The sequence below is a fragment of the Homo sapiens genome, chromosome 19 (assembly GCF_000001405.40).
Source record: "Homo sapiens chromosome 19, GRCh38.p14 Primary Assembly".
NCBI lineage: Eukaryota > Metazoa > Chordata > Mammalia > Primates > Hominidae > Homo > Homo sapiens.
In genome coordinates this window covers 38,615,312-38,638,536 of record NC_000019.10, presented here as the reverse complement: position 1 = coordinate 38,638,536, position 23,225 = coordinate 38,615,312, and the positions used below count along the sequence as shown (strand labels likewise).

General features: G+C 51.2%; 2 protein-coding genes across 6 annotated transcripts in view, besides 11 other annotated features; one reads left to right on the top strand and one right to left on the bottom strand.

Annotated features, from left to right (window-relative positions):
* Nucleotides 753-1,692: an enhancer, noted in NCBI's record as "H3K27ac-H3K4me1 hESC enhancer chr19:39127485-39128424 (GRCh37/hg19 assembly coordinates)". NCBI's record gives its function as "activates a minimal SCP1, AML or CMV promoter by ChIP-STARR-seq in naive H9 embryonic stem cells {active_cell/tissue: H9 hESC(naive)}" and the evidence as "EXISTENCE:reporter gene assay evidence [ECO:0000049][PMID:30033119]".
* Nucleotides 1,180-1,319: an enhancer, noted in NCBI's record as "active region_14581". NCBI's record gives its function as "activates an Ori minimal core promoter by ATAC-STARR-seq in GM12878 lymphoblastoid cells {active_cell/tissue: GM12878}" and the evidence as "EXISTENCE:reporter gene assay evidence [ECO:0000049][PMID:35858748]".
* EIF3K (eukaryotic translation initiation factor 3 subunit K) lies at nt 1,583-19,349 on the bottom strand. Of its 3 annotated transcripts, none has more exons than NM_013234.4 (8): nt 19,210-19,349; nt 18,102-18,200; nt 14,340-14,460; nt 12,435-12,509; nt 6,041-6,107; nt 5,859-5,936; nt 3,419-3,544; nt 1,583-1,648 (listed from the first exon to the last, which is right to left on the bottom strand). In NM_013234.4, exons 1-8 carry the CDS (start codon nt 19,266-19,268, stop codon nt 1,617-1,619), a joined length of 657 nt encoding a protein of 218 aa, NP_037366.1. In that variant the 5' UTR covers nt 19,269-19,349; the 3' UTR covers nt 1,583-1,616. The 3 variants fall into 3 exon arrangements, with proteins under 3 accessions (NP_037366.1, NP_001295322.1, NP_001287921.1); NM_001308393.2 differs by having other exon boundaries at nt 19,220-19,349; NM_001300992.2 differs by lacking the exon at nt 5,859-5,936.
* Nucleotides 2,937-3,895: an enhancer, noted in NCBI's record as "H3K27ac-H3K4me1 hESC enhancer chr19:39125282-39126240 (GRCh37/hg19 assembly coordinates)". NCBI's record gives its function as "activates a minimal SCP1, AML or CMV promoter by ChIP-STARR-seq in naive H9 embryonic stem cells {active_cell/tissue: H9 hESC(naive)}" and the evidence as "EXISTENCE:reporter gene assay evidence [ECO:0000049][PMID:30033119]".
* Nucleotides 3,784-3,833: an enhancer, noted in NCBI's record as "active region_14580". NCBI's record gives its function as "activates an Ori minimal core promoter by ATAC-STARR-seq in GM12878 lymphoblastoid cells {active_cell/tissue: GM12878}" and the evidence as "EXISTENCE:reporter gene assay evidence [ECO:0000049][PMID:35858748]".
* Nucleotides 5,324-6,523: an enhancer, noted in NCBI's record as "CDK7 strongly-dependent group 2 enhancer chr19:39122654-39123853 (GRCh37/hg19 assembly coordinates)". NCBI's record gives its function as "activates an origin of replication core promoter dependent on BRD2, BRD4, P300/CBP, MED14 and CDK7 cofactors, with strong dependence on CDK7, by STARR-seq in HCT116 cells {active_cell/tissue: HCT116}" and the evidence as "EXISTENCE:reporter gene assay evidence [ECO:0000049][PMID:35650434]".
* Nucleotides 5,324-6,570: a biological region, named in NCBI's record as "CDK7 strongly-dependent group 2 enhancer GRCh37_chr19:39122654-39123853".
* Nucleotides 5,779-6,570: an enhancer, noted in NCBI's record as "OCT4-NANOG-H3K27ac-H3K4me1 hESC enhancer chr19:39122607-39123398 (GRCh37/hg19 assembly coordinates)". NCBI's record gives its function as "activates a minimal SCP1, AML or CMV promoter by ChIP-STARR-seq in primed H9 embryonic stem cells {active_cell/tissue: H9 hESC(primed)}" and the evidence as "EXISTENCE:reporter gene assay evidence [ECO:0000049][PMID:30033119]".
* Nucleotides 6,571-7,362: an enhancer, noted in NCBI's record as "OCT4-NANOG-H3K27ac hESC enhancer chr19:39121815-39122606 (GRCh37/hg19 assembly coordinates)". NCBI's record gives its function as "activates a minimal SCP1, AML or CMV promoter by ChIP-STARR-seq in primed H9 embryonic stem cells {active_cell/tissue: H9 hESC(primed)}" and the evidence as "EXISTENCE:reporter gene assay evidence [ECO:0000049][PMID:30033119]".
* Nucleotides 14,309-14,810: an enhancer, noted in NCBI's record as "H3K4me1 hESC enhancer chr19:39114367-39114868 (GRCh37/hg19 assembly coordinates)". NCBI's record gives its function as "activates a minimal SCP1, AML or CMV promoter by ChIP-STARR-seq in naive H9 embryonic stem cells {active_cell/tissue: H9 hESC(naive)}" and the evidence as "EXISTENCE:reporter gene assay evidence [ECO:0000049][PMID:30033119]".
* Nucleotides 15,457-16,317: an enhancer, noted in NCBI's record as "NANOG hESC enhancer chr19:39112860-39113720 (GRCh37/hg19 assembly coordinates)". NCBI's record gives its function as "activates a minimal SCP1, AML or CMV promoter by ChIP-STARR-seq in naive H9 embryonic stem cells {active_cell/tissue: H9 hESC(naive)}" and the evidence as "EXISTENCE:reporter gene assay evidence [ECO:0000049][PMID:30033119]".
* Nucleotides 20,011-20,060: an enhancer, noted in NCBI's record as "active region_14579". NCBI's record gives its function as "activates an Ori minimal core promoter by ATAC-STARR-seq in GM12878 lymphoblastoid cells {active_cell/tissue: GM12878}" and the evidence as "EXISTENCE:reporter gene assay evidence [ECO:0000049][PMID:35858748]".
* Nucleotides 20,584-23,225, top strand: part of MAP4K1 (mitogen-activated protein kinase kinase kinase kinase 1) — a 30,313-nt gene continuing 27,671 nt past the window's right edge. For all 3 annotated transcript variants that reach the window (NM_001042600.3, NM_007181.6, XM_011526404.2), the window contains exons 1-4: nt 20,584-20,740; nt 20,912-20,969; nt 21,093-21,183; nt 22,278-22,342. In NM_001042600.3, coding sequence (NP_001036065.1) covers nt 20,642-20,740; nt 20,912-20,969; nt 21,093-21,183; nt 22,278-22,342 — 313 coding nt within the window. In that variant the 5' untranslated portion in view covers nt 20,584-20,641. The remainder of the gene's footprint in view (nt 20,741-20,911; nt 20,970-21,092; nt 21,184-22,277; nt 22,343-23,225) is intronic.

The following is a 23,225-nucleotide window of genomic DNA, read 5'->3' as shown; positions in this document are numbered from 1 at the left end:
ACACCTTGAGAGGAAAAAATATATATATACTAATTTTCTCATGAAGTCTCTCCATACAGAATAGTACTGAGGACTAGCTTGCAACCTTGGTGACAAACACTTCTGAGCCTGAAATTAACAATGGCTTATATTTTCTTTTTTGAGACAGGGTCTGTCACCCAAGCTGGAGTGCAGTGGTGTGATCACAGCTCACTGCAGCCTTGACCTCCTGGGCTCAGGTGATTTGCCGACCTCAGCCTCCTAAATAGCTGGGACTACAGACACGCGCCACCATGCCTAGCTATTTAAAATAAACTTTTTGGTCAGGCGCGGTGGCTCACGTGTGTATTCCTAGCACTTTGGGAGGTCGAAGCAGGGAGACTGCCTGAGCCCAAGAGTTCGAGACCAGCCTGGGCAACACGATGAAACCCCATCTCTACTAAAATACAAAAAAATTAGCCGGGCGTGGAGGTGTGTGCCTGTAGTCCCAGTTACTTGGGAGGCTGAGGCAGAAGAATTGCTTCAACCTGGGAGGCAAAGGTTGCAGTGAGCTGAGATCGCGCCACTGCACTCCAGCCTGGGCGACAGAGTGAGACTCTGTCTCTAAAAAAAAAAAAAAGAAAAAGAAAAAGAAAAAAAAAAAATATATATATATATATATATATATATATTGAGACGGAGTCCCACTCTGTCGCCCAGGCTGGTCTCAAACTCTGGCCAAGCAATCCTCCTGCTTTGGCCTCCTAAAGTGTTGGGATTACAGGCGTGAACCACTGCACCCGGCCTGTGGCTCACATTTTCTAAGAGCAAGGACAGGACAGGACAGGCCCCAATCTCAGGCCTTTACTGGCAAGGGCCGGAGAAACCCTCACAGGTTTCAGAAGGGTGCATTATTCTTCCCCTTCTGCAGATGAAGAAACTGAGAATTAGAGAGGCACAATCCCGGCTGGGCGCGGTGGCTCACGCCTGTAATCCCAGTACTTTGGGAGGCCGAGGCAGGCAGATTACAAGGTCAGGAGATCAAGACCATCCTGGCTAACACGGTGAAACCCTGTCTACTAAAAATACAAGAAATTGGCCGAGCATGGTGGCGGGCGCCTGTAGTCCCAGCTACTCTGGAGGCTGAGGCAGGAGAATGGCATAAACCCGGGAGGTGGAGCGTGCAGTGAGCCGAGATCGCGCGACTGCACTCCAGCCTGGGCGACAGAGCGAGACTTCGTCTAAAAAAAAAAGAGGCACAGTCCCTTGACCAAGGTCACAAAGCAAGAGCCACCATCAAGACAGAGGGAAACTTCACCTTCACTCCTCCCAGAGGTGCTCAGCCTCCACCACAGGGCTGGGCTGCCACATCCCATTCATACTCCCTCCTCCTTGCTGACTCAATGCTGCCCTCCCCACCCAAGACCTAAAAGGTCAGGAAGGTAGGGTGGGGCAAGGGAGGAAGTCGAAGCAGGGGAAAAAGGAGGCGGAAACCCCGCCATGGGGTGTGGTGTGGTGGGGGCTGGGGGTACGGTGCGGGGGCCAACCCAGAGCAGAGGCCTGCTCCTGAGCTCCCTCTGGTGGGCAAGGGGCAGAGGCAGGAAGCCAGGGAGGAGACAGTAGGGCTGAGTCAACACATCTTTATTAAACACCTGAAGTTACTGGGAGGAGGCCATGATGCTGGACACACCTGTGGGGAAGGAGAGACCAGACTGAAGGTGAGAAGGGCGGGAGACAAACCTCCAGCCACCTGCTACAGCACCCACAATTCTTTAGGGGGAGATCATAAACTCCTTCCAGGCCCCAGTTACCATCACAAAGGCAGTTTGGTGCAGTATTTTAAAAAGATGGACTCTGGAGCAAGGAGGGCTAGGTTCAAATCCCAGCTCTGCCAATTAACAGCTGGGTCACTTGGACAAGTTACTGAACATCTCTGAGCATCACCTACCTTCCTATCTTTAAGAAGCACCTACCTTATAGGATTGTAGGACCAAACGAGGTGCTTAGAACAAAGTGCCAAGGAAGTGTTGTTTGTAATTACCTACATGATAATATTTACTAGGTACTATTTGCAGGATACTCTTAAGTTTTTTTTTGAGACACAGTCTCATTCTGTTGCCCAGGCTGTAGTGCAGTGGAGCGATCTTGGCTCACTGCAACCTCCACCTTCCGGGTTCAAGTGATTCTCCTGCCTCAGCCTCCTGAGTATTTTGAACCTATCCTGTTTGACCCAGGACACAGAGCAATGGAGCCAGAACTGAGACAGAGGGAACCCTCCCGTCTACTCCCCCGGCAGGGCTGGGCTCCTACTTCCCTGAGATTCACACCTTCCTCCTCCTTTTCCTTGTTGACTCAGCACTGCCCTCTCCACCTGTGACCTAAAAGGTCAGGAAGGTGGGGTGGGGCAACAGAAGCCAAAGGGGAGAAGAAAGGAGGCCCTTTCCTCACTACAGAATCTTTTGCTGGAGTTCTCACTGAGAACCCCGACACAGCAGTCACGCGGCGTTTAGAGGTGAGATACCACGGGCTGCAAGTGCGCAGATGGCTGCCTGCTCAATGCTGTTCCCCAGTTAAGTACAAAATTAGCTGGTTTGTGTTAAGAAACCACGTTGTACCAAACACATCTTTAAAACACCTGAATCACACTCAAGCGGGTGGGGGAGACCCGGGATGAAGGCAGCAGCCCGCCTGTGCCTTTCTCCCTGGCTCCAGGACATCTGCTCAGTGCCATGATGAGCGGCAGTGAAGCAGCACCCGCTGCCGGAGTAGCCACTGCAATCTTTTTAGTTGAGCAAGCAGTTGAGCCTGTGTTAGTTACATGTGTGTAGACGATGGTCATAATGAACATTTAATGAACTGTGTGGTCACTTAGCTCTTTGCTAAGTGTTATACATGCATTCACACTTATGATGCCATGAGGTAGGTATGATACTATTTATATCATTTAGCAACTGAGGATCAAATGATGTAAGTGTAAGGACCTACACAGTGTTTATCATAGTTACTGTTGCAGTCGTCCCCATTTTTTAGATGAGAAAACTGAGGCACAAAAATGTGGAATCACCCAAACTAGAGAATCAAGATTCCTACTGTTCACCGGATTCCAAGTCTGCACATGAGGCTTGGGCACCCCAAGAATAAAAGATGGCCAACGAGACAGGCCTCAGGGACAAATAAGGGTGCAGAGACCCCCTGTGAGGCCCCGCTGGGCCCCAGGAAGTCTTGCTGAGTGCTATGGGGCAGGACACAGGGCCTAGAAGTTCCAGGGAAGATCACCCAGCTCCCCGCTATTCCTCCTGGGCGGGAGCCCCAAGACACAAGGTGAATGGAATCTGGCAGGTGCAGACTTCCCAGCCCAGAACACGAGCAGATCTACCCAGGTCCTCTGGGCCCCTGCCTCGGCCTCCCTTGAGGGGCACCCCCTTAGCCCCAAAGCCCGAGGCCGTGGGTCACCACTCACTGTCAAAGTCAATCTTCTCCACAATGTTCTTGGGTTTAATGCTCTCTTCTTGGCTACAGATGAAGATCTGCCCCGACTCGTCGGCACTCCAGCCGTATTTGCTCATCCACACCTTTAGCTGGCTGTCTGCAGGTGACAGGGGCAGCAAGGGGCTTCAGTCAGCCTGATCCCACAGTTCCAGGGGACTGAGAGGCAACAGAGTCATGGCTCAGGAAGCCAGGGCAGCCCCCCTTGCCCACTGACATCTCCTGGACAGCAGCAGCTGGCCTGGTCTCCTTGCTTCCGCCCCTGCCCTTCCACGGGTCATTCTCTGAATGGCCGCCAGAGGGAGCCTGTGAGCTCTTTCAGCCTCATCGTGGGGCTTCTGCCTTAATTTCTATTCCTCTGTTTTCTCTCCCTGGGCAAATTTTGGTTCCTAACAAGAGCAGCGTATTTATCTACCTTTTCCCACAACCTATATGAAACGGTTGCAAAATTATAACATGACCATTACCAGAAACAATACACTTTTTTTTTTTTGAGACGGAGTTTTTGCTCTTGTTGCTCAGGCTGGAGTGCAATGGCGCAATCTCGGCTCACTGCAACCTCCACCTCCCAGGTTCAAGCAATTCTCCTGCCTCAGCCTCCCGAGTAGCTGGGATTATAGGCATGCGCCACCACGCCTGGCTAATTTTGTATTTTTAGTAGAGATGGGGTTTCTCCATGTTGGTCAGGCTGGTCTCGAACTCCCGACCTCAGGTGATCCGCCCACCTTGGCCTCCCAAAGTGCTGGGATTACAGGTGTGAGCCACCGTGCCAAGTCCTGGCCAACGTGGTGAAACCCCATCTCTGCTAAAAAAAAAAAAAAAAAAAAAATTAGCTGGGCGAGGTGGCAGAGGCCTATAGTCTCAGCTATTTGGAAGGCTGAGGCAGGAGAATTGTTTGAAACCAGGAGGAGGTTGCAGTGAGCCGAGATTATGCCACTGCATTCCAGCCTGGGTGACAGAGCCAGACTCCACCTCAAAAAAAAAAAAAAAAAAAAAAAAAAAGTTAGCTTTTACTTGGCTGGATGCAGCGGCTCACGCCTGTAATCCCAGTACTTTGGGAGGCCAAGGTGGGCAGATCACTTGAGGTCAGGAGTTCAAGACCAGCCTGGCCAACATGGTCAAACTCCTTCTCTACTAAAAGTGCCCAGAGTGGAATGCAGTGGTGTGATCTTGGCTCACTGCAACCTCTGCTCCTGGGCTCAAGCGGTTCTCCTGCCTCAGCCTCCCGAATAGCTGGGATTACAGGCACATGCCAACACGTCCAGCTAATTTTTGTATTTTTAGTAGAGACGGGGTTTCCCCATGTTGGCCAGGCTGGTCTCGAACTCCTGACCTCACGTGATCTGCCTCCCTCACTGGTATGAGCCATCACACGTGGCCTTCCTTAGTTTCTTTTTTTTTTTAGATGGAGTTTCGATCTTATCACTAGTGCAATGGTGCGATCTCAGCTCACTGCAACCTCCGCCTCCTGCGTTGAAGCAATTCTCCTGCCTCAGCCTCCCAAGTAGCTGGGATTACAGGTGCACGCCACCACACCCAGCAATTTTTTGTATTTTTAGTAGAGAGGGGGTTTTACCATGTTGGGCAGGCTGGTCTCGAACTCCTGACCACAGATGATCCGCCCACCTCGGCCTCCCAAAGTGCTGGATTACAGGCGGGAGCCACCGCACCCGGCCTTCCTTAGTTTCTTGACTTCCTTTTCTACGTTTCTTTTTACAAAAGTAAGCAAATAAGTTATTTTTTCTTTTTTTGTTCTTGGGGGGATCTTTAAAAAATATCCATCTGATCAGAGCCCTACCCTGCTCAGAGCCCTCCGGTGGCTCCTTCTCAGTCAGGGGAAAGGACAAGGTCCTCCCGAGGCCCCACATGACCTGGAAATGCCCCTCCAACCCCCAGCTCTCTACTTTCGCCCATGCTTACTCTGCTCTGGCCACATACACCCTGGCTACCCATGAACGTTACAAGTCAGGGCCCTGCTCTACTATCCTCCTCTGCACTACCTCAGGCCACGGGCCTCTCTCTACGGAGGTAAGGGCTCAGATGCCGCTGGTCTGTGAGCTGTCTTGCTTTCCTTCATGACAGGAATCACCACTGGACACCTCCATGTCGCCATGTGCTTTGCTACCTCCATGAGAATGAATTGGAGCCATCCCACTTTGTTTACTGCTGCACGCCCAGTTTAGCACACTGACACACGGTAGGCACTCAATTAATGCAAAATAAATGAGCAAATGGCATAGGATCTCCCTCAAGGCAGAGACTGTCTTATACCAAGTTCTTATTTCCTCCTTGGGCTGGGCCTTCCATGCTGACCTGATGAGACCCAGACAGGCCTGTTGGAGGAGCTGACTGAGGTCCACTGCCCTAGCCACCCCCAACCTCCCAGATGTGCACCAGGACCCAGAGGGCGTTACCCGACAGATCCCCGAGCATCTCGGCCAGCAGCCAGCGGTCAATGTGCTGGTAAGTGATACCCACAACATGGCAGATAACTGTGGAGGTCAGAGACAAAACCGGTGAGCAGCTGTCCCCCCGGACCTGGCTGCCACTCCCTACCCCTTCCCCTTGGGGAGCCCAGCCTCAGAGAGGGACTTACACTTTCGGACAGAGTCTTCAAAGCCAGTTATACCTTCCAAGAGGTCCATGTTTTCATCCAGGGCTTGCTGTGATGGGAATTGATGTTCACAATGTTTATTCTTTTAAATTATTTGCTTTTATTTTTATTTATTTATAGAGATGGGGTCTCACTACGTTGCCCAGGCTGGTCTTGAATTTCTGGGCTCAAGTGATCTTCCTGCCTCAGCCCCCCAAAGTGCTAAGATTTTGTTGCTGCTGTTGTTACATAGACGAGGTCTCACTATATTGCCCAGGCTGATCTCAAACTCCTGGGCTCAAGTGATCTGCCCACGCTGGCCTCTCAAAGCGTTGGGATTACAGGGGTGAGCCACCACTCCCAGCCTACACTGGTAATCTTACCTATCAACAACGTTCTTATCAGTAATGTGTGGGGAAAAGAAAGATCAGATTGTTACTGTGTCTGTGTAGAAAGAAGTAGACACAGGAGACTCCATTTTATTCTGTACTAAGAAAAATTCTTCTGCCTTGAGATGCTGTTAATCTGTAACCTTACCCCGTGCTCCCTGAGACATGTGCTGGGTCAACTCAGGGTTAAATGGATTAAGGGCGGTGCAGGATGTGCTTTGTTAAACAGATGCTTGAAGGCAGCATGCTCCTTGAGAGTCATCACCACTCCCTAATCTCAAGTACCCAGGGACACAAACACTGCGGAAGACCGCAGGGACCTCTGCCTAGGAAAGCCAGGTATTGTCCAAGGTTTCTCCCCATGTGATAGTCTGAAATATGGCCTCGTGGGAAGGGAAAGACCTGACAGTCCCCCAGCCCGACACCCGTAAAGGGTCTGTGCTGAGGAGGATTAGTAAAAGAGGAAGGAACGCCTCTTTGCAGTTGAGACAAGAGGAAGGCATCTGTCTCCTGCCCGTCCCTGGGCAATGGAATGTCTCGTGTAAAACCCGATTGTATGTTCCATCTACTGAGATAGGGGGAAACCGCCTTAGGGCTGGAGGTGGGACACGCGGGCAGCAATATTGCTCTTCAAGGCATTGAGATGTTTATGTGTATGCACATCAAAAGCAAAGCACTTAATTCTTTACCTTGTTTATGATGCAGAGACCTTTGTTCACGTGTTTACCTGCTGACCTTCTCTCCACTATTATCCTATGACCCTGCCACATCCCCCTCTCCGAGAAACACCCAATAATGATCAATAAATACTAAGGGAACTCAGAGGCCGGTGGGATCCTCCGTGTGCTGAACGCGGTCCCCTGGGCCCCCTTTTCTCTTTCTCTATACTTTGTCTCTATGTCTCTTTTCCAAGTCTCTCATTCCACCTAACGAGAAACACTCCCAGGTGTGGAGGGGCAACCCACCCCTTCAGTAATGTTAACAAGAATAGCAGCTACCAGGCCATGTGTGGTGGCTCACACCTATAATCCCAGCACTTTGGGAGGCTGAGGTGGGTGGATCACTTGAGGTCAGGAGTTCGAGACTACCCTGGCCAACAGGGTGAAACCCTGTCTCTACTAAAAATAAAGAAATCAGCCAGGCACAGTGGCTCATGCCTGTAATCCCAGCACTTTGGGAGGCTGAGGCGGGCGGATCACCTGAGGTCGGGAGTTCGAGACCAGCCTGACCAACATGGAGAAACCCTGACTCTACTAAAATTACAAAATTAGCAGGGCGTGGTGGCACATTCCTGTAATCCCAACTACTGAGGAGGCTGAAGCAGGAGAATCGCTTGAACCCAGGAGATGGAGGTTGTGGTGAGCCGAGATCACACCATTGCATTCCAGACTGGGCGACAGAGGGAGGCTCTGTCTCAAAACAAAACAAAACAAAAAACAACAAACAAACAAAAAACAGAAATTAGGCTGGCTGGGCGTGGTGGCTCAAACCTGTAATCCCAGCACTTGGGGAGGCTGAGACGGGCGATCGTGAGGTCAGGAGATCGAGACCATCCCGGCTAACATGGTGAAACCTCGTCTCTACTAAAAATACAAAAAATTAGCCAGGTGTGGTGGCATGTGCCTGCAGACCCAGCTACTCGGGATGCTGAGGCAGAAGAATCACTTGAACCCAGGAGGCAGAGGTTGCAGTGAGCTGAGATTGTGCCACTGAACTCCAGCCTGGGCGACAGCGCGAGACTCCATCTCAAAAAAAAAAAAAAATAAATAAATAAATAAATAATTAAACCGGGTGTGGTGGTGGATGCCTGAAATCTGTAATCCCAGCCACTTGGGAAGATGAGGCAGAAGAATCACTTGAACCTGGGAGGCAGAGGTTGCAGCGAGCCAAGATCATATCACTGCACTCTAGCCTGGGCGACAGAGCCATACTCCATTTCAGAAAAAAAAAAAAAGCAGCTACCACTTTGAGCACTGACCCCACATGCTATAGCCATTCTTCTAAGTGTAGCCATGTGATGTAAGTTATATCCATTTTAGAGATGAGGAGACCAGGGCAGCTACATGATTTTCCAAAAATCCTGGAGGTGAGGCTTGAACCTGGCAGGCAGAAACCAGAGCCCTGAGAAAGGGGGCAGACACATATTGGCTAAGTGTATTCAGCCACCTCCCCTTGCTTCTGTCTCACTCAGAGAAAAGGCCAATTTTCCTACCATAGCCCATTAGGCCACACAGAATCTGCCTGTCACCTCTGTGCCCTCACCTCCACCTACTCGCTACTCACTCACCCTGCTCCAGCCACAGGGGCTTCCCTGCTGCTCCCCAAACCCGCCAGACACCCGCCTACCTCAGGGCCTGTGTATGGAATTCTCCTCCATGGCTACCACCCTCACCTCCTTCAGATTTCTGCTCAAAGGTTAGGTCTGTGGTATAGGTTCTCTCCAACAAAAGGGAGGGAATCCCCCACATGGATGCCGGGAAGGTGTAGCCAGTGAGGTGGGCAGAAATCCAGATTTGTGGCCGGGCGTGGTGGCTCAACCTGTAATCCCAGCACTTTGGGAGGCGAGGCAGGAGGATCACTTGAGGCCAGAAGTTCAAGACCAGCCTGGTCAACATGGCGAAATCCAACCTCTACTACAAATAGAAAAATTAGCCAGGCGTGTTGGCGTGGGCCTGTTAGTCCCAGCTACTCAGGAGGCTGAAGTGCGGGGATCACTTGAGCCTGGGAGGTCAAAGCTGCAGTGAGCTGTGTTTGCATCACTGCACTGCGGCCTGGGCGACAGAGTGAGACCCTGTCTCAAAAAACAAAACAAAACAAAACAAAACAAAACAAAACAAAACAAACAAACAAAAAAAACCTGTCTATCTGTTCCATGGAATAGGTCTAAGATCTCCAACACATCTCATTTGCTAGTTTGCTAGTGAGAACAGTTGTAGAACTAGTAAACTCTATTATTTTAAGCATTTGATCATTTTCTTTGTGGGATTAACTGAAGCTAATCAATAATTTCTTACTTGAATAAAAAATAAAATGTTTAAGAATTAAAAAAAAAAGTGTGCAGTCAGCTGCACATAAAATGTCAGGGTCTGGGATAGGAACAGGTGCAATTTCTACAGTGGCTGCTTCCATTTTCTCCCGAGACAAGAAGCCAGATCATAAGTTGAGGTGAGAAGAAAGGGAGACAGATAAAGCATGAGGAAACATCCAGGAGTTGGGGAAGGAAGCAAGACCGTAGCTGCAGCTGGGGACAGGGGAGTCACATGCGACATTTTTTCTCTTTTTTTTTTTTGAGATGGAGTTTCGCTCTTTTTCAGACTGGAGTGCAATGGCATGATCTCGGCTCACCGCAATCTCCGCCTCCCAGGTTCAAGCAATTCTCCTGCCTCAGCCTCCCGAGTAGCTGGGATTACAGGCATGCGCCACCACGCCCGGCCAACTTTGTATTTTTAGTAGAGATGGGGTTTCTCCACGTTGGTCAGGCTGGTCTCGAACTCCTGACCTCAGGCGATCCATCCACCTCGGCCTCCCAAAGTGCTGGGATTACAGGTGTGAGCCACCATGCCCAGCCAGCACATGCGATTTAAGAGAAGGAAGCGGAACAGAGAAGCCTGCAGAGAAAGAGGGTTGGAGCTAATGGTCAGGCCCAAGAATGTGGGGATGGAGACCCTGTGGGGGTGAGCTGAGAAGCTAGGAGGAAGCGGTCAGAGAATGGAGATGCTGGAAACTCACAGAGGGAGGAGGGGAGCCATTATTGGTGACGGCAGTGGCTCCCAACATTGGCCAGATGTCCAAATCACCCAGGGTAACCTTTTAAAATCCCAAGGCCTAGGCTACACTGAAGCAATTACATCAGACTCTGTGAGGGAGGACCCAAGTATCAGTATTAATTTTTAAAAATGCCTCAGAGGTCCGGGCGTGGTGGCTGACACCTGTAGTCCCAGCACTTTGGAAGGCCAAGGCGGGCAGATCACTTGAGGTCAGTAGTTCGAGACCAGCCTGGCCAACATGGTGAAACCCCGTCTCTACTAAAAATACAAAAATTAGCCGGCGGGGTGGTGCATGCCTGTAGTCCCAGCTACCTGGGAGGCTGAGACAGGAAAATTGCTTGAACCCAGCAGGCAGAGGTTGCAGTGAGTTGAGATTGTGCCACTGCATTCCAGCCTGGGTGACACAGCGAGACATGGTCTCAAACAAAAAAAAAAAAAGGAAAGAAAATAAATGCCTCAGAGGTCTAATGTGCAGAGAACTGGCCTGGGGTATGATTGGAAGAGAAGGGCTGAGGTCAGGTGTAGCACAAGATAGCTGGCCAAGAGAGCAAGGGACCCAGAGGTCTGGGTGGTCAAAGGATCCTCTGTGTTACTTTCTAAGCGTCTAAGAATTAGGGCAGGAGTGGTAGAGAGCGCCAGTGAGAAGGAGCTGAATTTTTTTTTTTTTTGAGACGGAGTCTCACTCTGTCACCCAGGCTGGAGTGCAACGGCATGATCTCAGCTCACCATAACCTCTGGGTGAGGTTGAACCCACTGGGTTCAAGTGATTCTCCTGCCTCAGCCTCCCGAGCAGCTAGGATTACAGGCATGTGCCACCTCACCCAGCTAATTTTGTATTTTTAGTTAAGACAGTATTTCTCCACGTTGGTCAGGCTGGTCTCGAACTCCCGACCTCAGGTGATCCACCTGCCTCGGCCTCCCAAAGTGCTGGGATTACAGGCGTTGAGCCACCGTGGCCAGCCAGGGGCTGAATTCTTCAAGAAACAAAGAGCAGTCACCAGAGGGACTGATACCGGGCAGGAAGTGACGACACACACACTTCAAAACTGGGGGTTTCTGGCCCGGCGTGGTGGTTCACGCCTATAATCCCAGCACTTTGGGAGGCTGAGGCAGGCAGATCACCTGAGGTCAGGAATTCAAGACCAGCCTGGACAACATGGCAAAACCCCGTCTCTACTAAAAATACAAAAATTAGCCAGCGTGATGGCACATGCCTGTAACCCCAGCCACTTAGGAGGCTGAGGCACGAGAATCAGTTGAACTCGGGAGGCGGCAGTTGCAGTAAGCCAAGATCGCGCCACTGCACTCCAGCCTGGGCAAGACTGAGACTCTGTCTCAAAAATAAAACAAAATAAAATAAAAAATACATATAAAATTTAGTTGGGCATGATGGCGTGTGCCTGTAGTACTAGCTACTCGGGAGACAGGAGAATCACTTGAACCCGGGAAGCAGAGGTTGCAGTGAGCCAAGATCGTGCCACTGTACTACAGCCTAGGCAATGGCGTGAGACTCCATCTCAAAAAAACCAAAAAACAAACAAACAAAAAACAACAAAAAAGACTGAGGGTATCAGAAGAGATAGGAGCCAGGAGGTGATCTAGCCTCCCACTTAGGGGGCTGCAGAAGTGGGGGGCCAGGTTCCAGTTAGAGCAAGAAGGGCAGAGCATGTCAGACAGGTAGAAGAGACGGAGAATTTCTCTTTCTTGAGACAGGGTCTTGCTCTGTTGCCCAGGCTGGAGTGCAGTGGTGTGATCACGGCTCACTCGCAGCCTCAAGCGATCCTCCCACCTTAGCCTCCTGGGTAGCTGGGAGTACAGGCACATGCCACCACACCCAATTAATTTTCAATTTTGTAGAGATGAAGTTTCACTATGTTGCTCAGGCTGGTCTGGAACTCCTGGCCTCAAGCAATCCTCCCACCTTGGCCTCCACAAGTACTGGAATCACGGGGGTGAGTCACTACACCCAGCCACTGGAGGACTTCTGATCAACGGTGTGTACTAGAGGGCTCAGTGGAAAGATGGGAGAAAGGGGAAAGGGTCGGCCTCAGCCTGTGGGCACGGGGATGACCTGTGAGTACCTGCTCCGCGAGAGGATGATAATTCCACAAACACACACATGCAGAGCACTGGGCCCACCGCCAAAGCAGGAAGCCAGTCAGTGTGCACCGTTGTTACTTTTAGCACTCAGCTCCACATGGCCCTGCCATCTCCCCTGCCCCTGGACCCCAGGGAAGTTACCCAGAAGGCCTGGAAATGGCAGGTCTCCAGCAGGTCCCCGAGGTACAAAATCTGTCGGATTGGCCGTTCTTCTTGCTGGGAGGAGGAAGCATTAAGGAAAACTGGCCTCGGAGCGTAAGGTTGGACCCCAGATCACCCCTCCCCACCTACCTTCTTCTGGCTGCTTTCTTCCAAAGCTTCAGCTCAGAAAAACAGCTGGAAAAGGAAGCCAGCTTATTTCTCCTGCAGGTGTATGCAGGAGAAAGGATGTTGGCTGCAGGACTGTTTGTAATGGCAAAAGATGAGAAATGACATGCCAGTCCTGGTGGCTCACGCCTGTAATCCTGGCACTTTGGGAGGCCAAGGCGGGTGGATCACCTGAGGTCAGGAGTTCGACACCAGCCTGGCCAACATAGCGAAACCCCATCTCTACTAAACATACGAAAAGCAGCTGGGTGTGGTGGCACGTGCCTATAGTCCCAGCTACTTGGGAGGCTGAGGCAGGAGAATCACTTGAACCCGGGAGGAGGAGGTTGTAGTGAGCCAAGATCACGCCTTTGCACGCCAGCCTGGATGACAGAGCAAGACTCCATCTCAAAAAAAAAGAAAATATTAACAAAAAAACCCTACTATTATTACTAATAAAATAAAACCTATAGGCTGGGCACGGTGGCTCACATCTGTAATCCTATCACTTTGGGAGGCTGAGGCGGGTGGATCACCTGAGGTCAGGAGTTCGAGAGCAGCCTGGCCAACATAGCAAAACCCCGTCTCTACTAAAAATACAAAAATTAGCTGGGCGTGGTAGCATGCATGCACCTGTGGTCCCAGCTGCTCAGGAGGCTGAGACAGAATAGCTTGAACCTGGGAGGTGGAAGTTGCAGGAAGCCGAGATCACGCCACTGCACTCCAGACTGGGTGACAGAGCAAGGCTCCGTCTCAAAAAAAAAATAAAATAAATAAAATAAAACAACAACAAAAAAAAACCCACCTTAAATCATTCCTATGTCAGGCTTCCTCTACCATTCCTGAAAGACAGCACCGAGCTCTGCTTCCTTTAGCCCATGAGTGTCCTCTCTGCCTGGATCACCTTTGCCTACCCCTCCACCTAACTCGTTATGTTTTAGATGTTCCCTCCTCCAGGAGGCCCTGGTTTATAGTTTCTAGTTAAAAATACAGAAGAGTGAACAGTGGCAAAATAGGTCTTCCCTTCCCTGTCTCACAGCCATCCTTCCTGGGAGGTAACAGTCATTTCCAATTCTTGGGTACCTTTCCACCTTTCCAGACATTGTTCTATAGAATGTAAATACAGATGGCTGTGTTCATGTCCACATATTCCCCCACCCAAATGGTCAGGTGCCTACTCTGGCTCTTCTTTTTTTTTTTGAGACAGAGTCTCACTGTGTCACCCAGGGTGGAGTGCAGTGGCGCAATCTCGGCTCACTGCAACCTCCATCTCCCAGCTTCAAGTGATCCTCCTGCCTCAGCCTCCTGAGTAACTGGGACTATAGGTGTGTGCCACTGTGCCTGGCTAATTTTTTGTATTTTAATAGAGATGGGGTTTCGCCATGTTGGCCAGGCTGGTCTCGAACTCCTGACCTCAGGTGATCCACCCACCTTGACCTCTCAAAGTGCCGGGATTAGAGGCCTGAGTCATTGTGCCCGGCTGCTGTGACTCTTGTAACCCAACCCTGACCACTCCAGTCTATCACTGACTCTTCACTGGACTGCGACAACTTTGTGAAGACAGGGCCCAGGACTGTCTCAGTCACCAGTGTCCCAGCACTGTCCAGCACCTTGCCACGCTGGACCAGAGCAGGCACTTGTTGTTTGTGGATACACCCACAGACCATCTCCCTGGGAATTCATGCACCTTGACTCTGACCCCTTCCCACACACCCCCCGGCCCCAGTGCTGGAAGGATACATGTGCCTGGTCGATCATGCACTTGCACAGGGTGAAGTCTGTGTGCGGCAAGTTGGTGAGGGCCTTCAGCAGGATCTGGGCGGTGACCGTGGTCTGAAAGAAGGCTGGGTTGAACTGGTACCTAAGAAAAAGAACAAGAGACGTGGCCACAGTGGCACCTCCAAGTCCCCAATCCTCACCAGGTGCCAGGCAGCTGCTTTATTCTGGAGTTTGGGAATTGGACATGCCTGGGTTCCAATCCCAGTCCCAGTGCTTCCCAGCTGTGTAACCTTCACCTCCCTGAGCCTACCTTTCTCCTCTGTGAACAGGGACAGTTAATGCTCACAACTACCCAATGGGGCAGACACTGCTAAGTGATTTATAAACAAATGAGAACAGCAGCAGTGGTCTGGAGTAGTGGCTAAGGAACCAGAGCCAGACTGCCTCGGTTTAAACTTCCCTGCTGAGTGACCTTGGACTGCTTATTTATGACACGAGGAGCAGAGAAGAGAGAGATTAAGAGGCACTGAAAGGCTGAGGAGCAGAGAAAGGAAACTGAGGGGCTGACGGTTTCCTCCCTTGCAAAAGAGGACAACAGAAGGTGGCGGTGGGGGTGGGTAGGTGGGTGGCTCAAGCCTGTAATCCCAGCACTTTGGGAGGCCGAGATGGGCGGATCACCTGAGATCAGGAGTTCGAGACCAGCCTGGCCAACATGACAAAGCCCCGTCTCTACTAAAAATACAAAAATTAGGCTGGGTGCAGTGGCTCACGCCTGTAATCCCAGCACTTTGGGAGGCCAAGGCGGGTGGATCACCTGAGGTCAGGAGTTCGAGACCAGCCTGGCTAACATGGCAAAACCCTGTCTCTACTAAAAATACAAAAATTAGCTGGGTATGGTGGTGCGTACCTGTTGCGGGAAGTCAGGGACCCCAAACGGAGGGACCGGCTGAAGCCATGACAGAAGAACGTGGATTGTGAAGATTTTATGGACATTTATTAGTTCCCCAAATTAATACTTTTGTAATTTCTTATGCCTGTCTTTACTGCAATCTCTAAACATAAATTGTAAAGATTTCATGGACACTTATCACTTCCCCAATCAATACCCTTGTGATTTCCTATGCCTGTCTTTACTTTAATCTCTTAATCCTGTCAGTTGAGGAGGATGTATATCGTTCCAGGACCCTGTAATAATTGCGTTAACTACAAAAATTGCACAACATGTGTGTTTGAGCAATATGAAATGTGGGCACCCTGGAAAAAGAACAGGATAACAGCAATTGTTCCGGGAATGAGAGAGAGAACCTTAAACTCTGACTGCCGGTGAGCCGGGCAGAACAGAGCCATATTTCTCTTCTTTCAAAAGCAAATGGGAGAAATATCGCTGAATTCTTTTTCTCAGCATGGAACGTCCCTGAGAAAGAGAATGCGCACCTAGGGGTAGGTCTCTGAACGGGCCCCCCGGGGCGTACCTGTCTCTTATAGTCGAGATTGCAGAGGTGAAATAAACTCGTCTCCCATAGCGTTCCCAGGCTTATTAGGAAGAGGAAATTCCCGCCTAATAAATTTTGGTCAGACCGGTTGATCTCAAAACCCTGTCTCCTGATAAGATGTTATCAATGACAGTGGTGCCCAAAACTTCATTAGCAATTTTAATTTCGCTTTGATCCTGTGGTCCTGTGATCTCGCCCTGCCTCCACTTGCCTTGTGATATTCTATTACCCTGTTAAGTACTTGATGTCTGTCGCCCACACCTATTCGCACACTCCCTCCCCTTTTGAAAATCCCTAATAAAAACTTGCTGGTTTTTGTGGCTTGTGAGGCATCACGGATCCTACCAATGTGTGATGTCTCCCCCGGACGCCCAGCTTTAAAATTTCTCTCTTTTGTACTCTGTCCTTCTATTTCTCAAGCCAGCCAATGCTTAGGAATATAGAAAAGAACCTACGTGATTATCGGGGCAGGCCCCCCGATACGTACAGCTACTTAGGAGGCCGAGGCAGGAGGATTACATGAACCTGGGAGGCAAAGGATGCACTGAGTTGAGATCATGAGATCACGCCAAGGCACTCTAGCCTGGGCAAGAAGGTGAGACCCTGTCTCAAAAAAAAAAAAAAAAGGAAAGAAAGAAAGCACCCAAGTAAAATTAGCTGGGCATGGTGGTGCATGCCTGTAGTCCCAGCTATTCAGGAGGCTGAGGCGGGAGAATCACTTGAGTCCAGAAGGCTAAGGATGCAGTGAGCCATGACTGTGCCACTGTACTCCAGCCTGGGCAACAGAAGATCCTGTCTCCAAAAAAAAAAAAAAAAAAAAAAGGGCACGAAGAACCCACAATGTCCATCAAGAGCCAGAAGAGATCATTAGGACAGCCACACAAGTGACACAGTGGAGAGCTATACATCCATGACAACAAACTGCAGCCATATCAAAAACAAAACAAAAAAACAAAAAACACTGGATGGATCTCACAAACCCAGTGCTGAGTAGCAAATGGCAAATGCAGAAGAGTTTGTGCTGTATGCACTCCATCTGTATCAAGTTCAAAGCAGGGAAACCTGAGCTGAGCTGAGCCAGATGTATGCATGCATAGTAAACCATCACATAAAGCCAGGCCATGAGAGCATGGGGGAGCAGGGGAATTGGTTGGCATAGAGCATAGGGGGCAAAGAGCCTGTGGTGCTAGCAATAACTTTGCAACATAAATGGTGATTATGTAGGCTTTCATTTATAATGATTTGTTAAACTACATGTTTGCTTAATGTATTAGCCTGTACATGTGTTCTGTAATTAACCTTTATTTATTTTTGAGACAGGGTCTCACTCTGTCGCCCAAGCTGGAGTGCAGTGGTATGATCTTGGCTCACTGCAACCTCTGCCTCCCAGGCTCAAAAAATTCTCCTGCCTCAGCCTCCCAAGGAGCTGGGACTACAGCCATGCGCCACTGGGCCCAGCTAATTTTTGTAGAGACAGGGTTGTGCCATGTCACCCAAATTGGTAATTCTTTTTTTTTTTTTTTTTTTTAAAAAGAGGGGTCTCACTCTGTCCCCCAGGCTGGAGTGCAGTGGCACTATCATGGCTCACTGCACCTTAATCTTCCAGGCTTAAGCGATCCTTCCACCTCAGCCTCTCAAGTAGCTGGAACTACAGCCACACACCGCTACATTAATTTTTAAATTTTTTCGTAGGGTTGGGTCTCGCTATGTTGCCATGGATGGTCTCGAACTCTTTGGCTCAAGTGAGTCTCTCGCCTCAGCCTCCCAAAGTGCTGGGATTACAGGCATGAGCCCCTGCGGCCACCCTAATTGATTTTTTATTATTATTTTTGAGACGGAGTTTCGGTCTTGTTGCCCAGGCTGGAGTGCAATGGCGCGATCTTGGTTCACCACAATCTCCGCCTCCTGGGTTCAAGCAATTCTCCTGCCTCAGCCTCCCGAGTAGCTGGGATTACAGGCATGTGGCACCACGCCTGGCTAATTTGGTATTTTTTAGTAAAGATGGGGTTTCTCCGTGTTGGCCAGGCTGGTCTCAAACTCCCTACCTCAGGTGATCCGCCTGCCTCATCCTCCCAAAGTGCTGGGATAACAGGCGTGAGTCACCGCGCCCGGCAATTGATTTTTCAAAAACCATCCCTCCTCCTGTCCCAACTTCCTTGGCTTCCTAGTCTTGCACACCAAGAGATGCTGCATTGTTCAGGATACTACCAGCCACCCCCTTGCCCTGTACTGGGAGTGGCACCCTGCTAGTTGCTGCAATGGGAGTGTAGACAGAGAGCTAGACACTTACAGCTTCAGGACAGCCAGGTTGGCTTCCAGATCATAGGCATTTTCCTTGGCCTGCGTCTCTACATAGCGCTCCAGGGTGGCCAGGTTCTCAGGATTGTACCTAAAGGAGAATCAAGATAGGTGAGCACAGAGGAGACAGAAGCTGAGGCCAGCCACCTTATGGAGCAAGGGGCCACTGTAACCTGCTCCTCCCGCCCTTCCCCTCTAAATCTGGCACTGGCCACTTGCTCTATCCAGGTAGTGAATTATGTCCAGTATAATCTCTAGTAAAACTTATTCTTATCCCAGACCTCTCGCCTAAGCTCTAAACTCCACTGGAGCCCTGGCTCTTCCCTAGGATGCCTCCTCAACCTCTGAGCCAGTCAGTCACTGCAGCTTGTACACCTGGCCTCCTGAATGTCTCTGCTACTCACCCCTTCCTCCCCTGTTCAGGCCTCCACCCTGATCCAGCCCCATCCTCTCCTGCCTACCTCGCTGCCTACTTCCTCCATGTCCACCTGAACACTCTGGCCTTTGCTTCCCCCATTTCAGTTCTAATCTCTCCCGGCTATCGCTGTCTGCTGTCAGGTTTGTCTCCCTTATGGAAAGGGAACTCAGACCGTGAAGGCATGATCTGCCGCTGTCTGATTCGCCTGTGGTTCCCAGCATTGCCTAGCACTGACAGTTTATTTCAGTAAACGTGTGGAGAATGAATGACTTATAGAGCAGAGAAGGGAGAGATTAAGAGGCACTCAAAGGAGGCGGAGCAGAGAAGGAAACCTTAAGGCAATTTACGAAGAGACTGAGTGGTACCAAGATTCTCTCGCTTCTAGGCCTTTGCAGTGCTTTTGTTTCTTTCTTTTAGAGACGGGGTTTGGCTGTTGCCCAGGCTGGTCTCTAACTCCTGGGCTCAGGCGACCCACCTACCTCGGCCTCCCAAAGTGCTAGGATCACAGGCGTGAGCCACTACCCCCAGCTCAGTGCCGTTTCTTTAAGCATCTCCTCCTCCAGGAGGATAGAGAAACCCCACCCCGCGGCAAGCCCAGGACCCTGAACACCCCTTGCTGTCTCCGGAAAACCCTCTCCTCCGCCCCGCTTGGCCAGAGCGCTTCCTCCAACCGGGCTCAGACCTGTCGATACCCTTGAGCAACTTGCCCACGTTGGCTCTCATCTGCTCAAACATCGCCATGACTTCTGTCGCCTTCCACAACCAGGGCTGGAGGCTAACACTGACCCGGCACGGCGTCCTCAAGGACGGGAACAGGAAGAGGTGGTGGAAACGGAAACGACGTCGTTGTTGTCGCTCCAGCTCCTTGGGTGCGGTAAAGGGAAAGGCTCTAGCAGCAGCCGCCACGCTTTCCGGCTGCCACGTGACTTCTTCCTCGCAGGCGCAATTGGCGCGTGCGCATTCGCGCCACTCAAGCTGGACAGACAGCGTGAGAAAAATCTTACTGGATCCCAGTGCGCAGGCGCCTCTCGTGGCGAGGGGGCGGGGCTAAGCTTTTCCCGGGCCTCACAGACCCAGTTCCAGTGCCGGTAGCGCGGGAGCGTGCGCGCGCGAACTCACCGGGAAGCACCCGGAGCTCTGGCGGCGTGCGCGCGCGTTGTATTGCGCGCGGCCATGAGGCCACGGAGCTCTGCGGGAATGCACGCAGCAGCCTTACGTTTAGGCCATGGCCAAGTTCCGAGGGAGGTGTTCTGAGGTCCCTCTTGCCACAGGCCTGGGCGCCTGGTGCAGGATCCTGAGCTCTCCAGTTTCAAGTCTCAGCCCTTGGTCCCCAGCTCCAGGAGGAGGGTCCCACAAAGCTACTGTGCTCTGCCGGGCAGGGGCTGGGGTGAGGGCTCCTGGACTTCGCCGGATCGCGCCCCGTCTCCATTAGGTTCCGGTCTTGGAGCTGAGGGCGAGCGTCCCATTTGTACTGCCATGAATTATATATTATGTATAGGTTTTGTACACTGCAGGCCTACAAAATGCAGTTATGTGCCATGCATGTGGAGGTATATGTCCTGGGTACATCCACGTGTGTACTGTGCACACAGGTATCCAGGCAGATGCACGTCTACACGCCTGCGCAGTGCAGAGGAGGTAACCCAAGTGCATGTATGTGACAGGTGAACAGGCATGTACACTGCATAGCCATCCCTTTGCAGACCTGCCGCCTTCGGGTTGTGGCCAAACCTTCAAGCACCCAGCAGAGGTTTAGACACTACCTAGGAGACGGGGGCGGGGGTTCTAAGGCACCCCCCTCCAACCCAGTTACGATTAAGATCATTTGCATCACATTTACATCCAGCCCTGGGCCTTGGAGGTTGAGGGTGGTCCCTTGGGTCCCAAGACAAGCTGCCCCTCAGAGGCTCTCAGAGCCCAGGGGACGGGGGGGTGGAGCCCGTTGCACAGTCGTGCAGTGCAGCTGGGGCAGGAAGCGAGAGTGAGGAGGGGGGAGGCCACAGCCCGCGGAGGCAAGGCGGGTGCAGGGCTTCTGGGGACGGAGGGAGGTGCCAGAAGTTGAGCCCTGAGGCCCTGCTGGCCCCTGGGCGCAGGCCCAGCTCAGGCCCCCAGGGATGGACGTCGTGGACCCTGACATTTTCAATAGAGACCCCCGGGACCACTATGACCTGCTACAGCGGCTGGGTGGCGGCACGTATGGGGAAGTCTTTAAGGTGAGGAAGCCCCTCTGTCCCCAACACCCTACAACCAGTGACCTTTAAGGCAAGCCCTCGGCAGGGAGGAGGCTGCAAGAGGGGGTCCCAGTTCTTGACCTTGACTCAGGGATGCTGTGGAGGGACTCTGGCAAATGGAGCCTGCCTGACTGCCAACTTCCCCTTTGCAAGGCTCGAGACAAGGTGTCAGGGGACCTGGTGGCACTGAAGATGGTGAAGATGGAGCCTGGTGAGGAGGGAACATGGAGCTCCTTCCCCACATCCCCACCTTCGCCTCCTGGGACACTGGGATCACCTCCCCTGTAGCTCTCTCCCCATGCGAGCTGCCTTTTCTCTCCCGCCCTCCTCACAGATGATGATGTCTCCACCCTTCAGAAGGAAATCCTCATATTGAAAACTTGCCGGCACGCCAACATCGTGGCCTACCATGGGAGTTATCTCTGGTGATGAACCTCAGACCCACCCTGGCACCCAGCCCAGCCCCTAACCCGGAGTCCCCATTTCTTGATGGGGGTACCCTCAGTTCTTTTTTTTTCTTTTCTTTTTCTTTTTTGAGATGGAGTCTTGTTCTGTTGCCAGGCTGGAGTGCAGTGGCATGATCTCAGCTCACTGCAACCTCTGCCTCCTGGGTTCAAGCAATTCTCTGCCTCAGACTCCCGAGTAGCTGGGATTACAGGCGCTCACCACCCTGCCCGGCAAATTTTTGTATTTTTAGTAGAGATGGGGTTTCACCATCTTGGCCAGGCTGGTCTTGAACTCCTGACCTTGTGATCCACTCGCCTCGGCCTCCGAAAGTGCTGGGATTACAGGTGTGATCCACCGCGCCTGGTCTTGGCACCCTCAGTTCTAACCTTGAACTTCCATTTCTCACCATAACCCGACCTCCCATCCTGGACCCCCATTTTTGACTGGGCTAACCCTACCATGATCCTCACTCCTAAGTCCCACTTTTCTGACCAGAGCAGCCTCTAATCTAATCTCCAATCTAAAATTCCCATTTCTGACCAAGAGTACCCCAAATTGATCTCTTCATAGTAACTGAATTTGAAATCAACTCCCTTGAAACGAAGCTCTCACCATTCTGCTCTTTGGCTCACCCAGTTTCACTCTCTGCTCCTTTAATATAAACTCCTAAATTCCCTGATCCCCAAATTAATATTCCAGATGCCCCAATAATGACCTCTGCTCCCCAGAACAGGTGCCCTGGGCCCCTCTGTCCCCTCCAAATCTCCACAACCCGTGAGATCTCTGCCCTGCCTCCTAGGTTGGCGTGGGACGGCAGTGGGGTCCCGCCCAAAGGCCTAGGTTTGAGTTGACTTGCCCCGGAACTCACATTTCCTCTCTGAGCCTTAACTTCCTTGTCTGTAAAATGGGAATGAAACAACCTCACTCTGGTAGACAAGGAGAGGTGGAGTGATGAGAGCTGTTACGTTAAAGTTCTTATTGAACTAGAACAAGACAGAAGCAAACCAGGGGCTTTCCTGCAAATAATAATGTATTTACTGCTATTATTATTCTTACTCTTGAACCACTGCAGGTTGCAGAAACTCTGGATCTGCATGGAATTCTGTGGGGCTGGTTCTCTCCAGGACATCTACCAAGGTTAGAGAAAGGACAACGGGACCCAAGCACCCCTCCCTATCCCCACCCCCCAACCCCGACCCAAATTCACCTCTTCCGTCTCTGTGTGTGTATCTCACAGGAACTGTCTTTCTGGGCCATATTTCAAACTCCTGGGCTGAGCTGATCCTCTTGCCTTCAGCTGTCGAAGTGCTGAAACTACGGGCTTGAGCCACTGTGCCTGGCTTTTTTTTTTTTTTTTTTTAATATAACTGCTGGGCCTGGTGTGGTGGCTCACGCCTGTAATCCCAGCACTTTGGGAAGCCGAGGTGGGCGGATCACCTGAGGTCAGGAGTTCAAGACCAGCTTGGCCAACATGGTGAAACCCCGCCTCTACTAAAAATACAAAAAATTAGCCGGGCGTGGTGGCAGACGCCTGTAATCCCAGCTACTCGGGAGGCTGAGGCAGGAGAATCGTTTGATTCTGGGAGGCGGAAAACCTCTGATTCCTTCCAGCCCTAGACCTCAAATGTTAGAAAAGGAAGGACGTCATTGAGAAGTCCTCAGGAGGGAAACTGAGGCCCAAAGAGAGGAAGTGAATCCCACAGCTGGTCTGTCAGACCTGATGTCTGACGGCCTCTCTCTGTCTGTCTGTCTCTCTGTCTCTCTGCCTGTGTGTTGTTCTTACCTCGTTACCCTCTGGGTCTCTCTCTAAATCTGTCTGTCTCCCCATATTTTGGCCTCTGACCTCTGTCTTTGTCTTCTGTCTCATTTTTTTGTTTTTTTCAATCCTGTTCCTTTTGTATGTCTCATGTATGATCTGTCTCCGTTTCTCTGTCTCTCTCTGTCTCTGTGCCTTTCCTTATTTTGCAAAGTCACATGACGCCCCTGCTCAGAGCCCTCCTACAGCTTCCATTTCTCTCGG